This window comes from Homo sapiens, chromosome 5 (assembly GCF_000001405.40).
Source record: "Homo sapiens chromosome 5, GRCh38.p14 Primary Assembly".
Taxonomy (NCBI): domain Eukaryota; kingdom Metazoa; phylum Chordata; class Mammalia; order Primates; family Hominidae; genus Homo; species Homo sapiens.
The window spans coordinates 8589367-8607844 of NC_000005.10; the positions used below are offsets into that span (position 1 = coordinate 8589367).

General features: G+C 38.9%; 1 annotated feature.

The window, feature by feature from the left end:
• Window positions 16676–17420: an enhancer, noted in NCBI's record as "OCT4-NANOG hESC enhancer chr5:8606154-8606898 (GRCh37/hg19 assembly coordinates)". NCBI's record gives its function as "activates a minimal SCP1, AML or CMV promoter by ChIP-STARR-seq in naive and primed H9 embryonic stem cells {active_cell/tissue: H9 hESC(naive and primed)}" and the evidence as "EXISTENCE:reporter gene assay evidence [ECO:0000049][PMID:30033119]".

Consider the following 18478-nt stretch of genomic DNA (forward strand, 5'->3'; position numbering starts at 1 on the left):
TCAGCTTTCTTATCAGCTTGCCCAGATGTGTGACACAAAGAGGAGACAGAGGGGTAAGGTTCAAAATCTGTCAGCAGCCAAACATCAAAAAGTGAAATCAGACTCCTTGTAACAGAAACATAATGTTAATTTAGTTACGAGATCTAATCCATTTACTATACTCCTAAATTAGACTTCCTAAATATTTTATTTACTAATTTGAAATCTATATTCACAATTGATAATTATCTGTTACTTTTTATTTTAGGAGTACTATTTCAAGTTTTGGAATTGGATTGTGTAGGCTAGCTTCATAAAATGATATTGTAAACTTCCTTTTATTCTTCTTATAGTATAACAGTTAATTAGTAATTATTTGTTTCTTGAAAGTTTTGTAAAATCCCAATTCCAGAGTTCTTTGATAGCATTTTTATATCTTCCGTTCCTGCTAAGAAATGTATTTAGATTTGACATAGTTGACTCTCTGTGTGTGTGTGTGTATGAAAATATGCACATATATATGGATATAGATATATGCTTGATATATAAAAATACACACATATATTTGTTTTCTAGAAATTTTCAAATTCATCACACAAAGTTCTACACTGAATTATTTTAAAATATTTTCTTGTCATATCGCTTTCACTGGTCTTACTATTATTTGTTCCAACTTTTTTTCACAGTTTTTTGACTCTGAGAAATTTAATTAAACTTTCTAAGCCTCAGTTTTCTTATTTATAAATTGTGACAGATAAAACCTAAGGTGTGAGTTTTCTTTGGTTGTGTGTCAAATTACCACAAACTTGGTGGTTTAAGACAACCTGCTCTTATTATCTCACCATTTCCATTAGTACAGAGTCTGGGCACAGCTTAACTGAATCCACTGTTCAGGGTCTCACCAGGCCACAGCCAAGGTGTTGACCAGGGTTGGCATCTCATCTGAGGTTCAAGATGGTCTTCTAAGCTCATGTCATTGGTAGCAGAGTTCAGTTCCTTGCAGTTGAAGGACTGAGGTGGTTGGCTTCTAGAGACTTCTCTCCTCACCCCAATTTCCAGCCATGTGGCAGTCTCCACAAAATGGAACTTTCCTTTTCCATTTTGGTAAGAAGCTGATTCTTGCCTCTTACCACCACAACTTCATCTGAAAGGCTCAACTGATTAGGACAGGCCTACCCAGAATAATCATCCTTTGATTAACTCAAAGTCAACGGATTAAGAACCATAATCACATGTGCAAAATGTCTTTACCTTTGCTATATAATGGCAGCAATATCTATCACACTCATTCTGCACACAATCAGGGAGCGGGATTACAGGAAGGGTGAATATCAGGTGGTGGGAGTCTTGACAGTCATCTTAGAATTCTGCCTACTGCCCTACCCAGTAGGGTTGATGATACTTGTAAGTGACTTACTGAGATAATATCCATAAAGTATGCAGTGCACCATCTTAGCTAACTGAATGTACCTCTCAGGCTCTGGCCATTCTATGCCCTGAGAGGTCTCTTCATGCAGCACCTTTCCTGTCTGACCACAGAAAGGCTATGTGGGTGCTGGGAGTCTGCAGGGCCTTTGCCAGAAGAACACTGGAGGCTCCCTTGTCTCTCTTGCTCTTCCATGGCACAGGCTTTGGATAGATTAAGTCCTGGTCACTCTTTTATCCTCAAACACCATGATCAGGGTCTGGTTTCAGCTCAGGCCATTTTTCTACTTGCCCAGAAACTACAACCTGGGTGTGTCCTGGTTTCCTCCATTGGACACTAGATGTACCCAGGAAGATCACTCAAGGTCCAGCACCAACCAGGCCTGAAACAACACCCCAGAGAGGGGTGGAGCTGTGCCCTGGAGCTTTGCAGGGCGTCAGCCCAAGGGAAGGATTTCTGAGCTGCTGGGGTTTGAGAATTTCAATCCTTAGAATTAGTGCAGCAGCTTACTGAGGTTATATAGCCTCTAAGTCTCTTTTTTCTATCTAAATCTCTTTTTCTAGACATAAATGGTCTTCTTCAAAGAAATTTTAGCTGAGCCATTTCAGTCAATTTACACTAGCTTTTTGAAAGTAAGAAAAGTTCTTGAACATAGATCAAACTTGCAGAAGTGAAAAGGAACCAAGCACAGGAGTTTCAATGGGGTTAAAACCCGCTCTTAACTATAAACACTTTCAAATTTTATTCCCTCCCCTAGTACAGAGCAGCTCTCCACATAGATCAACAAATTTTATTTTTTCATCACGTAAGTGTTCAATAAACTTTGTGTCCTCCTTAACATGATGCTGTTCTGGTGGACTGAACTATTGAATAGCAATGTGGCACATTAAGTCAGAGCCTCCTGTTCTGCAAAGTCCTCTTTCTTTCTGGTCTCATTTTTCCTCACACACCTGGGAGGAAAAAGAACTAAGTGCAGGTAGACCTCCGCCCAAGCCAGCTCTTTCTAGTTCCAAGGCCTCCTGCAAATCCTTTAATTCTGCTTTCTAAACTTGCATAATAATACAACTACTTGAGGACAACACAACTATCTGATAGTGATGCAACCACATCCAAAACCTATTACAATGTCCAGCATACAGGTGAGGCACTTGAGGCTCTGAGAGAGGGAATGACCTGCCTAAGCCAGCCCTGGGCAGAGCTAGGACTGAATGCAAGTCCTCCTCCTCCAAAGCTGGGAGTTTCACAGGGGATTGTCATGGCCCCTTTCATAGACTAGTCAAATTGGGATCAGCCCAATTTATAGGATCAGCCCATTTATGTCTTATGTCCCCATTTATGTCTTATGGGTAACTTGGTAGTGGTAGTCCCTAGGACATTATTCATATTTTATGAAATGATGGTGACACATTTCATTGATTCTCTTGGAAGAGTGAGGTGTAAGGATAGAAAGATGAATTCTACTCAGACTGGCCGATCCCAAAGAGACAAAGAAACAGACTCTGGGCCAGGATCTTTTTCTATCTTTTCTACACTCAAGCAGAGAAAGTTTTGTACTGAAAGAAAACCATAGCCACTTAGAACACAGGACCCACTAGCCGAGGATTTCCCGTAATATAAATGAATAAATCCTCCTTGTTTTCACGCAGTGCAGGGTGTGTCAGCATCCATGTGTATGAAATACACTTCCAAATGTATTAGATCCTTTATACTAAAGAAATTTATGACTCTGCCTAAATTATGTGGCCTTGCAAGTGTTCCTACACATTCTGGCTCTTGGCTTTTCTAAAATCCTTTGCCTTTGCTGTCATCTACACAATGTAACAGTGGGTTATCTACTATTATTTTATAATTGATTTTCATTGTCCTATAATTGATTTTGGTATGAATCTTACCACTAAAATTATGTTGGAAATCACCCCATCAGCTTAAAGGAAAAAAAGACAATCACCATCTTCAATTAGGTAATGCTTATAAACAAACATTATTGACCTTGCCAACATCCTACTTTGGTTGCCCTGGAAAGGGGAAGAAGAGGTGGCTGGAGAAGGAATAAGACCAGGATGAATGGCCTTGGTTTTCCTTATTCTAATTCTTGTCCAGGGAATTCTTGGATTTAGACAGAGAGAGAGAAAGAGAGAGAGAGAGATTGTATATTGATATTTTATGTATTATATATGTGTATATGTGTGTGTGTATATATATATATATATTTGCTGTCTTTATTGTCATTAGAAAGGGTGCTTGCATTGTTATAAATGGGAAAGACGAGCTAAAGTCTTCCTTTTAATCAGAGTAATCACTTCACACAGAGAGATAAACTACCAATGATTTAGAGAATTAAAAGGTAGCTGATGATCAAGACGGTATTAAAATCTCCTTCCATTTGACTAAAATTTAAATAGGTCTTCCTAACACTAGGTCCCTGACCTCCCCCCCTTTTTAGAGCATTTATTTAAAAAAAAAAACACACTTCTAATTATAAACTCTTACTTTGTTCCTTAGAAATTTAACTTTTTATGTGAAAGTTGCCAGAATCAAAATGGAATCACTAATGTTAAATAAAACTCTGACAAATAGAGCCAGGGAAACCGTGAAGAGAGAGTTTTGTTTGCATGCTTGATAATGAAAATGACTATAAAAAAAGACAGCCTTGCACAAAGGCCATCGCAACCTTGCACAAAAAAATACTTCTGCAAGGACATCTGCCCAGCAACTGCCTGTCCAACCTTGCACTGGAGTCCCCCTTTTATGGATCTTTGTAGCCAAGGATAATTATGCAGTTCTCCTCATTTTTTCTTTAAAAAACCTTTGCCTTTCTTTACCTCCCAGAATAGGATACATATAAATACATTTATATGGCACAAATATTCTCATTGTAATGCTCTATTTCCAAATAAACATCTTTTTCTTTCACGGAGCCTCTCTGTGTTTGTAATTTAGATTGATGCTTAAAAAGCCCCTCGACAGTTTCAAAATCTAGAAATGTCTTTCTCAAGGACCTGGGAGCCCTCCCTCTCACATGTAATCATCCAGGGAGATAAGGCCCCCCTCTATCAGTCTTTGTGGAAGAGTGGGAGCCTAACTTCAATGGGGCCCCTTACTCCAAGTTGTAAAGTTATCTTAGGTCATGAAGATGTAAGAAAGTTTACCTTTCATTTAGGTTTGGCCAACTGGCAAACACAGATGGCCTATGATCTTCTCTGACTCAAGCTGTTAAAAATCCTACTGCCTCTTGTTTCAGCAGAGTTGAGTTCAGGCTATGATCTAGTCCCCTATTCCAACAGCCTTGGATAAAGTCTTAATTACCTGTTTAATTTTGTCCGTGTAGTTTTTGTACTAATAGTAGTAAAAAATGTTTCAAGCTTTCAGAAAATATTCAAAATACAGGAAAGTCAGAGAATATTAGAACCAACACTATGAAACCACCACAAATATTGAACAGATGTTGACATGTTGGTAAAGATCTTTGGAACCCTTTCCCACTCTCCTCCCCAGAAGCAGCAACCATCATGGACCTGGTGTGCAGTTGCTGATGCCACTGGGAAAGGGGAGAGAGAGATTCAACCAACAGACCACGGCAATGGTGAGCAGCCAAGAGCAATGTCTATGTCCCCCTGGGCCAGAAGAGCAGGACTTACTGCCCTGGCAGAGAAGTGAGCTCTGGATGGTGATTCTGCCCACTGGAACCCCTGCTTTTATCCGTCATTCCCCCAAGGACTTTTTGGAAAGAAGGAGTGGGGAGCTGGCCTTTCTGGGGCAGCTCCACTTAGAAACCAACTTCTAGGTTTGGGGACCTCAGAATTATTCTGGGGTTTAAGCAAGACCTAGCGTTAGTTTGCAGCACAGGCCAGGTGTCTTGAGAACATAGTTCCTGTGGAGGTGGAGTCGGCTTTCTGTCGATTTGCATTTGGTCAACTCAGTTAATTAGAGATCAAAGCCAGAAGTAATGTTCCTGGGCTGAAGTCAAGTGTGGGATATTCTGCTTCTTATAAATATGTGCCCACATCCACGAATTTCAGTTTAATATGCATCTTTTTCTCTGCCTGAAGGCAATTCAAAACTATAGAGCCTGCACTTTGCCTAGAGGTAGAATCCTAGGGAAGGGCATGTGCAATTCTGTATTTATCAGACAGGGATGGGGACCTGGGAGAACCAGGCATGGCCCAGGTCCCTTTCTCTTCTTCAGCTATATTTCCTGCCCCTAGGACTCAACTGGCACCAATTTTAGTTGAGGAGTGGGGGAGTCGGGCTTCCCCAACATTGAATACTGTGCTCACAATGACCAACTTAGATTTTTGATCCTAGGGAGAAAGCTTCTCTCTCAGTAAAGCTGTGTTTTTCTCCTTTGCTGATTTATTTTCAATGCATTAACATTTTTCTATCAAGTCCTGTAAAGTTCAGCCACCATAAGCACTTGATGTAAATCCCAAGACACAACAGAAAACAATTTAACAAAATCCTTCCACGTAACAGTTCGTCTGTTTCCGGAATAAGAGTGGAATGTAAATAACTTTAACAACCTCTGCTTATTTGCCTCAGCTGATCCCGTAGTTAGCACCTCTCACTTGTCTTACTGAAATCCAGGTGCCATTTTCTGGACCAGTCAAAGATTTTGAGATACAAGTGACATATGCTCACTGGTTAATTCAAGTGAAGAGGAGATTCGTTGAACTGAGTAAGGATAGCTGAACAATCAGTCCTCAAAAGTAAGAGGCCTAGAGACCCTAGAGGCCCTGGGAAGTGAGACCCAATGAACAAGCCCTTCCAGGTGCAAAGTTTCGAATATTTGTATATTTGCTTCCATCTTATAATCAAGATTTAATTTCCAGAAGATGGAGATTCTGATTGGCCTAGTTTTGATAACCTGCTGCCTCCTGCAGTGAGGAGGGGGTCAGTTTAATGGACACTCTTACTGTGTATGTTCCAGGGAAATGGGGTCACCTATTCTTCAAGACTTACGTAGGAATTACCTGGGTTTAACACTGGAAGTCCCACCTCCTGGGAAAATCCTTAGTCCCATGACTTAGGGACAGTTGTTCACCCTAATAGAGCTTGATCTTCAAAAGAAAATTGAGGTGTTATTACTTGACAAAAGCAAGAGAGAAGTTGGGTTGGCAAAAACAATAACTATTCGTCACAGAAAAATTTAGGTGTTATTGCCTGACAAAGGCTAGAGAGAATGTGAGTTGGCAAAAACAGTAAGTATTCATCACAGAAAAAATTATTTTTTTGAAATGGAAAAATAGAAATAATTATTATTATTACCAGAAAATGGAAGTATGGATGGTGTGAGGGCAAAAATAATAAATATTGAAATTGGCCATCTTTTGATCCAGTTGTGGTATATAATTTTCTACATTCCACTGGTCAGACCACTGGAGTGAGAAACATGAGAGAGAATGAGAGTTTCAATATGTGGACTTAGTTTTCAACCTTTGTCTAGGAGCCCCAGACTCCTTTTAAATGAAGGGGGATTCATTAATTACCCAGAAACAACATATAATTTTTATAACCTCTTTCCTTGGTGATCCATTATGACTTTTTCTGATTACAAAACCAATTCCTTCCACAGCACGAGTTTTAGAGAACAGAAGGTACAAGCACCATCTTAAGTACAATTTTTTGCTAATATGTTCAGGTTATATAAACTCTAATTGAGCATTTATGCAATATCAGGCACAGGAAAGCCTCCAGAGTTGCCAACACATCAAGACCAAGACAGTGCCTCTGAGGGGCATGTAGTTGAGAGGCTCTAGTCGTGGGACCAATTTCCTTTGGAATCAGTTAACTTTGCTAAGTTTTGCAGCCATGGTCTGTCCCTCCATCCCTTGCAAACCACCCACCAGTGAGTACCCCAGGAGTCCGGGGAGAGGAGTTTCTATGAATTGTTGAAAATCTGCTACCAATCCTGTGAATTTTATAGACGGTTCTCATCCTCCAATGGTAGGCCATTGGTACAATCTGTGAATATGAAGTGTTCCATGCAAATTTTTCATAATTAGCTGTAATTTCTGTGTCAGGATTAAAATATATAGGTGACTCATGCTTCATGGTTTATCAACATCACATTTCATCAGAGTCTTAGTTTAATTCTGCATTCTATTTTATTCAAAAACTTATATTTGAATATGCACAGCCAAAATAGCCACATTGGAGACAGCTAAAAACACAGAATTGCTAGTCAAACTTGGTTTTTGCCCAGTGACTGCTAAATATTGTTTTAATGAAACTGCATTTTTAAAAGCCTCCTTTAAATGTTAACGTATGCTTCTTCTACTCAGAAGATTTTAGAATGTAAGAGCTAAAGCTTTCTTAACTGTATTTTTAGACTTAAGGTAATGTATTCATTCTTACTTCAAATTTGGATTTTGTGTGTGTGCATGGATTAGCCTAATCCTGATGCTTCTTAATTGTCACAAAATAGATTTTTATATTTTATGATAATCTTTACATTCCTTAGTCCTAAAGCCAGGCATATTTCAAATTTTTAGCACATTCCCCAATTTACACTATTCTTATTTTTCTACATCAACAAAATTAAGCAGATTCTTCAATGTTCAGCACTCAAATACATCTCATGGATAGTCTCTTACAATGGAATGACACCAAGTTGACTTGTTGTATGACTGTCCCCACTTTTGTTTTTTGAGAATTTGGTAAAACTCTATACGGGTTTCCCTAAGAAACCAAGGCAATAGCTTCATATTTCTCTTTGCTTACACTTGCAAACAAAACAGAAAGAGCGGGTTTGATGAACATTGGGAAGGAGGATGGCATAACCTATATTTTCTCAGCTTTTTAGTAAACACAGATTCAGCTTAAGGATGAGAACTAAAAATAATATTGTAAGGTTTGCAACTAACTGAAAGAATCTCCTCTCAGCCATGGGAACCGAAGAGAAACCCTAAAAACTGAGCTCAGGTCATGACAAGATGGAAAGTCGCATACTCCTCATGATACCCCCACCCTTTGGGGTTTAGACACAACAATCGAGCAGCATTAACTTTAAAAGAGGGATCATAAGACTGATGAAACAGACTGTTTGTGGCAATAAGATACAAAATTATAAGCACGGCTTACCACCAGGCTAGGCAAGGATTAAGTCATGCTTCCCCTACACCTAAAGAATAAACTGCGTTCTAACTGCCACATGGTTTCTTTTTCTCCAGCAGCCAAACAAACACTGGTCTTGAAATAAAGCAATATTAAAACAATTGCAGCTCAACCACCACCAGGTGCTGGCTAACTGACCCCCTGTTTCACCAGCCGTAACTACAGCTTTGACTGGACAAGAGACCAATTTCTGTAACTTTCTCTTGATAAGACACCACTGACCAGGGACTGGTTCTGGCCAGTTTACAGAGGCTGCTCACGAGAGTGCCAGTGTGTTCTGAAAAGACCTTTAGGCTTATAGGGCCTAGCTGTGATACATTTAAATGTTGTCTCCACTGCAAGGTGAACATGAAATGCATGTAGCGTGTATGTTTTCTTATTACACATATGCACAACCTCCCCTTTATGATTATTCATAGCTTTTCCTATGATGTGTTGAATATGTGTACTTAGCTAACCTCTTCAGCATACGTTTCTGTCATACCTTTCCTCCTTCTAAGTGCCTAACTTGCGGGCTGTGCTGGAGGATACATTTCCCAGACTGTTAGAATGGTCACCTTGAAGGCAGTAACCCTTTTTAAGAAATAAAGCTCTCTTTCCAAATTTATAGATCTCATGATTTTTCAGCTGCCAAGGAGAATGTGCACACCCAGCTGTTAACCATCACATTTCCTGTGAGTCGCGTAGCTGTTCAGCATATTAGCATGAAGAAGATAGAATAAAAATGTGGAGGACACAATGCCTTATGTCATGGGTTGAATTATTCCCTCCCCCCAAATAATTTGATGTACCAAATCCCAGTACCCATGAATGTGACTTCATTTGAAAATAGGGTGTTTGTAGACATAATCAAGTTAAGATGAGGTGATGAACATAGGCCCTAATCCAATATGACTAGTGTCCTTATGAAAACAGGGAAATTTGGACACAGACACACAGGGAGATATCATCTGGTGACAGAAGCAGAAATTGAAGTCATCGAACTTCAAGCCATGGAACACCAAGGATTACCAGCAGCCATCAGAATCTAAAAAAAAATTCAAGAAAGGTTCTCCTCTGCAGCTTTCAGAAGGAGCAGGGCCCTGCCAACACTTTAATTTTTGATTTCTAGCCTCCAGCACTATGAAACAAAAAACTTCTGCAGTTTGAAAGCACCTAGCTTGTGGTACTTTGTTCTAACAGTCCCAGAAATATGAATGCACCTTGTCTTCAAGAACTGCTACTACACAGAGATTTGTCGATCACCAGCTCCATGCCAGACACCAGGTTATTTCTGTGCATGCACAGGCAAATAAAATGCAGACGCTTTCCTGAAGAAGTGTGCACACTGTACACCACTGAGATGTTTGGCAGAGCTGGACTTGGTAGCAGATGGAGATCCTAAAGACAGCCTCTTTCCCTGCAGTTGTAGCACATTTTAAAATAACATTTGAATTGTAAACCTCTTCCCAGGGTTCCAAGATATTTTCAGAAGATGTAAATTTAGAGTGATCAAACCTAACAAGAGACAGTTACCCACACTGCAGCTTTCAGGTCTTCTATTTATTAAGGAACTATTTCTGTAGGCTAAAGGATTAAGAGCGGGAACAGTCAATCATTTCTTCTATATTTGCTACTTTGAAATCTCCTATATATCTCTGAAAACAAGAAATCTGTGTAGTCATCAGTCTGTATTTTTGTTGGCAATTATTTATAAGCTTTACACAACAGCTTCATGAAATTACAATGTTTTCTTTCACATGTGTGATGTGTTTGATCTTAGCAAAGGACTAGTGGCAACTGGAACATCCAGGATGTTTGCCTTTAAGATTATATTAAGGGCAAAATCACCTCCTATCCTCTAAGGCTTCTATTTAATTTCAACCATTACCATGTTTAATTGGAAAGAGAATTTGAAGATAAATCACATCATGTAAGGCTTTAGAGAGTCTAGCTATCTTGGCTTTAAATTATTGCATAGATTTTTTTTAACCTCCCAACAGTGTTGACAGGTAGATCACAATGAATCAGGCTTCCTACTGTATGTTCTCATTATTTAATATTAACACCTGCCCCAGGGGCTTGTAAAGTAATCATAAAGTTTTCCTAATGGATACTACACATAAGAGACTTTAGCACGCATTTCTCTCTTCATTTTATCCAAGTGCATTACATCTTTCCTGATATAGTTTGGGTCTATATCCCCACCAAATCTCTTATTGAATTGAAATCCCCACATGTTGAAGGAAGGGCCCAGTGGGAGGCATTTGAATCATGGGAGCAGACTTCCCCCTTGCTGTTTTTGTGATGAAGTTCTCCTGAGATCTAGTTGATTAAAAGTGTGTAGCGCTTCCCCCTTCACCCTCTTTTCTGCTCTGCCATGGTAAGATGTGCTTCCTTCCCCTTTGTCTTCTGCCATGATTGTTAAGTTTCCCAAAGCCTTCCAGCCATGCTTTCTCTACAGCCTGCAGAACTGTGAGTCAATTAAATGTCTTTTCTTTATTACCCAGTCGCAGGTAGTTCTTCATAGCAGTGTGAAAACGGACTAATACACTTTACTTCTTCCCTCCTTTATTCCTTACGCCAAATCTGGAAAACTTCAAATAAAAACTTAGATATTATTTTCTTCCACTCCTTCCATAGAAAAGAGAATTATCAGGACCAAAAAAAAAATTAAAGTGACTTTCTTATAGTATAATGAAATTTAAGAGTGTGATATTTAGTCTCTTATGGACCAATAATAGAAGAAAATTCATCTTGAGAACTCTCTGTAAGAAAAATGTGGATCAAGGAATATTTTCATATCTACAATTAAAGGTACACTTTTTAAAGAAAACAGTGTTTAATATTGACCAGATAATATCAAATTGGTGGTATCATTAGTCTCCTAAACAACAAGTCAACTTTTACAGGAAATCCTAGCAATTTTATGGACAGCTATTTAATACAGAGTCCCTGCACTGGAGTTGGGAAAGCTGTCAAGCCACCACACTTACCAAATGGGGTGATACTACTGCCCTCATAATTCCATTGCAAAGCACAGTCTGACACAAGCACATGAATTTGTGTGGTTAAGTTTTGGCTGGTTTACTGTGATACTGGATGACTGTGACCCACTGTGGTAATGATGTTGGATGGGTCATTTAAATTCTCACTTTTTTGATTCCTGATAAGGGAATTACAGCAATTTGTCACAATTTGCCAACAGAGAAGATGCAGATAGTGGTCTGACTCCCTGCCAAGTCTGACTTCTAGGGAGCAGGCTGCTTCCCTGAGTTGGTTACTGTCAATAATGAGTTGGTGTCCTCTGCAGGTTGCTCCAGAATTTTGGTCTGATTTCTGTTTTTATGTATGGTCTGACTGTTGTCTGTATGTTCAGACTCTCAGGGTGAAGACTATAGAGACTTCACAAGGCACAGAAATGGGATCTGACATGAGTTACAACCACAGGTTCATCACTGTCCCTGGTGTGAACCATGGTTGCTCCAAGCAAAGCCATGGAACTTTCCAAACTAAGAATTTAAGATCTCAGAACTTCTCTTGACAGGTTGGAAAACACTGTTCTATACAAGTATTTCTCACAAAAGATATCACTGTTAATCTTGGTTCTTTATATGTAAAAGGAAAAATAAAAATGCTGCATTTATTGAGAGATTAAAAAGACAGACAAAAGTTTTCCTTTCCCTTTGAAACTGATGAATTTCGCTGTAATCTTCAAAGTCAAAGCAACAGTAAAATCTACATTTGTCAATGAAGATCAGACTTACTTCATTTCTAGCATAAGAAGTAAAGTTGATTTATAGTTCAAATGCACATAAACCTCACCTCCTGAATGTCTTAATCTCATTACACATATAATTAAGTGATTTTTCCCCTGACTGCAGAAATAACAGGACATTGATCAGTTGTCTAGCTGTCATACCAGTGTGATTTGTCATTATAAATACAGTGAGGCTCACAAGTGTGGCGCTTTGACAAGATGTTTGACTCTGAGTCCTTGTTCGCGCTCATTACTGGCTTGCTTTTGCCCAAGTTTCAGTGATTTGGATCCTAAGAGAATACACCATGGGCAGTGGCTGAAGCTTTTCTAGGCTGTGCATGAAATCAGACAGTGCCCCAGAGTTGACCTCCCTGAGCTGATAACCCGCCTTTAGGAATGTGATCAAAGAGAACATCTCTGAGACATATGTTCCAGATTCCTATTAAACACGGGATATAAGTTTGTGCATAATGCTTACAATCCTGACTCACCTCCTTGGTAATTTGAAAACTATGCCACTGTCTTTTCTGTGACAGTGTTTATAACTGTAATATCCATAGGTTGATATGGACACTTCATGTTTTCTGATCCAAACGAATAATCACGGTGCTTTGTGAGGTGGCTAAATGCGGTTTATTGGTATTTTCCTTTGGGCAACTGCCCAAAGTCACCTTTTGCTCTGAGATATAACTTTGGAAATTCATTTATCTGTTATTTGTACACTCAACTGGCAGTCTCTTGACAAGGACTTTCTCTTGTCCAGGGTATTGATCTATGGAATAACTTTAACAATAAAACTGGCCTGAGAAAGGATGTGGAGAGACATGAAACAACAGGATGAGCAACATCATGGAGGAGAAACACGTTTCTTATATGTAGGGGGAGAACCAGTGTATAGACCTAGGGGACCAGGATAAACAAATGAAGTGGTGGCAGAGCTATTCAGCATGAGGAAATATGCTGATAAATATGCTTTATGAACAATAAACCTTCAAAGCAAATTTGCCAACCTCTGTATTCCATTTCTTTGATTCATTCAGAAAATATCTCAAGTAGCAACCGTGTGTCAGGCCCAGGTAGGGACACACAGAATGTGCAAGGCTTCAAAGTGAGAGAGGAGAAACTTGGGTCCAAATACCTTCTCTAAAGGCAAAGTAATAAATTCTGGAGAATGGGTGCAATGCTTGTTTTAGAATTCTCAAGGACAATAATTCAAGAGAATGCCCAGGAGAGATACTTGAGACAGGTCTTGAAGATAAAACAGATTTTAGCAGACAGAAGGAAGGGAACAGTCGGTATTCCAAAGAAAAGGAATGGAATGAGCAAATGCAAAGGCAGGTGCAAACGTGTTGAGTTTGTTAAACTTCAGGTAGTATGTAGGATGTGCATGAAGGTAATTCCCATGTATCAAATATTTTAAGTGGCTTCAATATTAGAACATTTCACACATGGTATTACAGGTTCTGGTGAGCTTTCAGACCTACACTACAGCAGTGCTACTTTTTTTTCTCTCAACCCTCACAACTTGACTCTGATTTTTTTATGTTTCTTTTGTTGAGATAAAAATTTAACACATTGAAATGCACACATCTTTAAATTGAGTGGTTGTTAATCTTATTGAGTAGTTGAAATTCTTTCAATATTCTGGATACAAGTTCTTCATCTGATATGTGCTTTGCAAATATTTTTTGTCTAAACTCTGGCTTGCTTTTTTGTGTTAAAATAATTTTTCAAAGATCAGAAGTGCTAAATTTTGATGAACTTCAATTTATCTGAAATATATATGTATATTTGGTGCTTTTTATAGCCTTTATAAGAAAACTTTGCCTACTTCCATGTTGCAAAGACATTCTTCTATGCGTTCTTTAAAAAGGTGTCAGTTTTTAGTTCTTACACTTAGCTATCTGATCCATCTTGAACTGATTTATATACGTATGGTGTGAGTTAGAAGTTGAGGCAAATATTACCCATATAGATAGCCATGTTTCTTGCACTATTTGTTAAAAAATCTTTTCTTCGTTACATATCTTGGAAATCTCTGTTAAAAGCTAATTGTCAAAGTAAATGTGGGTCTATTTTTGGACATTTTATTCTGTTTCTTTGACTTTTCTATACTTTTCTTGAATATCACTTTAAATGTTTTATTCATCAGAGTTACTCAAGACTATATTCCCTTCAACAATTAATGCCTTAAAATGTATTTTGGGTCACTCTATTTATTTCTGATTGCCCCTCAGGTTCTCGACTTCTCAGAATGGACGTAGATGAGAGACAGATCCAAATCATCCCAAGGTGAAACTGAAGCTTAACCTCTGTATATGATGAAATTTACTATTTTTTATCTATTATTTTGAATGGTATGTGGTCATGATGTTCTTTTCATTTCCTTTCTCTAAGATTAAGGAATTCTTTGAACACATATTTCTTAGAGATTTCTCATAAAATTAATTGAGTTAAGGACATACACCTCAAGAAAAAGTGCCTGGTGGCCCCAGTTCGTATGTGGGAGTCAGAGACAAAATTGTCCTTGGGATGAACGAGAGAAGGAGAGCATCCTTACAGACAATAGAAGGCGCCTATCTGAGATTTGGGCTGATCTGTGGTGAAAAGAACTCCAGATGTTAGGAATGATTTTTGGTCTCAAAAACCTGAAATGATTTTGCCTTATTATAATATTTCAAATATGTGAAATCCTGTAGTCTCCTGATATCCTAAAATTCATGTGACACTCCAAAGTGACTCTAAAAATTTATCACCTCCATGGTCCATCTGGACTTCACGGCTGGCCAAAGATGCAATGCGATCCCTGCCCTTCTACTGGCTGAAGCAGGTGCCCTGAAACTGCAGGCTCTGCCCAGCACGTCCAAGTCATCCTGCCACTGCTGAGTCCTTGTAACAGCTTTTGACTGAGAGGTTTGGCTGGGGCTTATATTCAGAAGTGAAGTTACTTATTTGTTCTGCTTATTTTTTTACAAAAATTACACATAATTATAAGGGAATGGAAAGTATCAAATTTATCAGAGATCTCAGAATAATGACATAGCATTTGGAAACAATGTGTCAATACGCCTCTTGGGGTGTTGGGGTGAGACTCAAAAGAGAATGTTCAGTGTGGCCTCTGTATTGCCTTAGGCAGGTGTGTCCCATCAGTTGTCACCTACTTGGAATTTGAAGAAAAGTGACTTTCTGTGTATTAAAGATGTTGAGACAACACATCTCAACACTCCATGAGGTGAGAGGGTGACAACATAAGATGTGGATGCCTAGCAAAAGGGTTTGGGAAGAATGTGATCAATACAGATATCAACACCAACCTCTGTGATGGTTAATTTTCCATGTCAATTTGGAGGGTGCTTTTAGATGAGAGTGACATTTAAATTGGTAAACTTTGGGTAAAGCAAATTGCCTTTCATAATGTGGGTGGGCCTCATTCAATCAGCTGATATCCTGAATATAACAGAGACTGGCCTTCCTGGATTTTATCTGCACCATTGGCTCTGCTGGGTCTTCAGCCTGCAGACCCACACTGCAGGTTTTGGACTCCCCAGCCTCCATAATCACATAAGCCAATACCTTATAATAAATCTTTTTATCTTTCCCTCTATCTCTATCTCTCTGTCTATACATGTATCTATTGTCTGTCTTTATTTCTGTCCTGTTGGTTTTACTTCTTGGAGAATGCTGACTAATACAACCTCCTAGATCTTCCTTTAAGCAAGCACTTGCTGCTCAGCTACAAGGAGTGTGGATGGCAGAGTGTGGGAGCCAGTTCCTTCAGGCTATGCCTCAGCTGTGGAGATAAGCCTCGCCTCATGTCTACTTTTCTGGGGCAACCCCGGTGATTGAAGAAGGCAGTTACATGGAGGTCCACCATTTAGGCCTGAAAGTACTACTTGTTCCAGAGTTCCTGGCTGGGTTGGCTGAGACTTTGTCAATCTTCTACAGATCAACTTCTCCCCCTGCCCCATCCTGCTACTGCCCCATTCTTTCACAAGTCGGACTCCTAATTCCCATTTGTACCCCAGACTCCAACTCAGCATCTGATTGTGAGAAACCAAATTGCAATAAGAACATAAATTTGCTGGGTAAGGTTTTAAAATGAAACTTTTGATGAAAACCTTTTACTCCATCTATCCTAGAACAACTTTGCTATTAGTTACCTCTCAGTAATGCTTTGGTCAAATGACCCATTCTTTTGGAGAGTTGTTCTCTCTCTTTGAAACAGACAGGTGAACAGTATGTTCAGACATCAGAGCTGGTGGATGAGGGACCGGGTAGCAACTGCGTTACCAGCTTTGACTCATTGTTCAGCACCGTGCCAGACAGTCTCCCTCTGTGGCTCTTCCGTGAACTATTTTAGAGATGTGCACTACACTTAGAGTCTGCAATTCTTTCCTAACTTTATATTAAAATGTATGTTTGCTAAGATTGTAGAAAGTTTCTGAAGACAAATAACAAACAAGACTCCTGTTTTTCTGTCAATGATTCACGCTAGTATGCCAAAATGTCTCTTGGATGGTGGCTGCCGGATGGCGACCTTCTCTATAATGCCTTCGTGTCAGCGTAGAGGTATTCCATAGAGAAGAGAGAGTAAAGGCCATGAGTAATGTCAGCTTCATCTTTCTTATGAGGATTGACTCAAAGTTCCATTCTCCCTGTGAGACAAGTATTCTCTATGTTCTGATAACTCTGTCATTATCTGTCCATCAGACCCACAGCAATTCCAGTACTTGAGTTCAATAGATACTTGATGAGCCCCTCTCTGTGGGAAATGTCTCTTTCTCCACAGGGGTGCAGTTCAGTGATAAGATAAGCCTTGGTTGAAAATGGAATCAGAAATTTAACAAAGGGCTCTCATTAGGGCACAATGAGGATCAGAAGTACATGCTGTGAAGACCTGAAAGAAGGAAATTTCAGGCCAACAGGAGAATTAGATCTAAACAAGAGGATTTTTTTTTTCTTTTTTCATACTTTAAGTTTTAGGGTACATGTGCACAATGTGCAGGTTTGTTACATATGTATACATGTGCCATGTTGGTGTGCTGCACCCATTAACTCTCCATTTTTCCTCTTAGATTTGTTTATATTTTGTGTTGTTTTATTTTTAATTCTCAAACCATTGATTAGAGAACTCTAGAAGACTGCAGAAGACTGCAGTTTTGGCATTTTGGTGATGGGTTCTAAACTTTAATTAGATTAATTTTGGAAGACACCTTTTTAGGGGTGATGTGGAAGGAAGATAAAAAACGAATCCTTTTTTTTTTTTGGCCATTTGAAGGTCATGGGATTCACTAGAGAGTGTCTCTCGAGGCTGACAGTGTAAACTCAAACATGTGACTTTGCAGGTCTCAATAATGAATTTTCAGTGGTTATGGAAAGGACAGGTGTCAGTGTCAATCCAGACAGAAATGAAATATAGATAGATAAAGTGAGGGGCTGGTTTTCCTGGTCTGAATTCACTGCTCAAGTAATCTATCTTCTGAAAAAAAAAACAACAACAGAGATTAAATCTTTAAAGACTTCTAGGTAACAAGGAAAATAAAAAATTAATCCCATTCTGATGGTCTAGAAAGTTTGAGAGGAAAAAGTATTTCTCAGTCTATAAAATTATTTTCCCAATTCTCATATTTCCTTAAATTAATACTGAGTACTGGAAATCATGATTTATGTGTATTTGCACTTACTTTTTAGCATTGTATGGCATAACTGTTGATATCTTTTACATTTTCACATGTAACTGATTATCTGCAAAATATTTAATGTTTTAGAAAAGTATACTTAATTATGCTGCAATGCACAGTTAGTCCAAGCTGTTTTTGTTTATAAATATTAATTCTTCATATTGTTTTTAGGTTTGATACCACAGTCCAGAATATGGAAGGTGGGTTTTTTGGTAATTCAGGAATAGTGAATGTTGCTGGCAGGTGAGTGTGGGACATGCCTTTTCCTTTCACAAGAATCTTGCTCATCTAAAGTGAGGCTGCATTAAGAAATGTGTCTGAAGTTTCACACAGGAGGCTGATGACAAGGTGGAAGGCCATAGTGTAGTCTGTTTTCACAGAAATTTAGCATTTCTCATGTTGGGTTACAATCATTAGTTTCTAATTATTCCATGTACATTCCATGTTCTGGAAACACTACTTTGTATTTCTGGTATGCTTTTGTGAGTGTGACTAGAACTGCAGGCTGTGGCTTCCAGCCTGTATCCTTCATTGAACTAA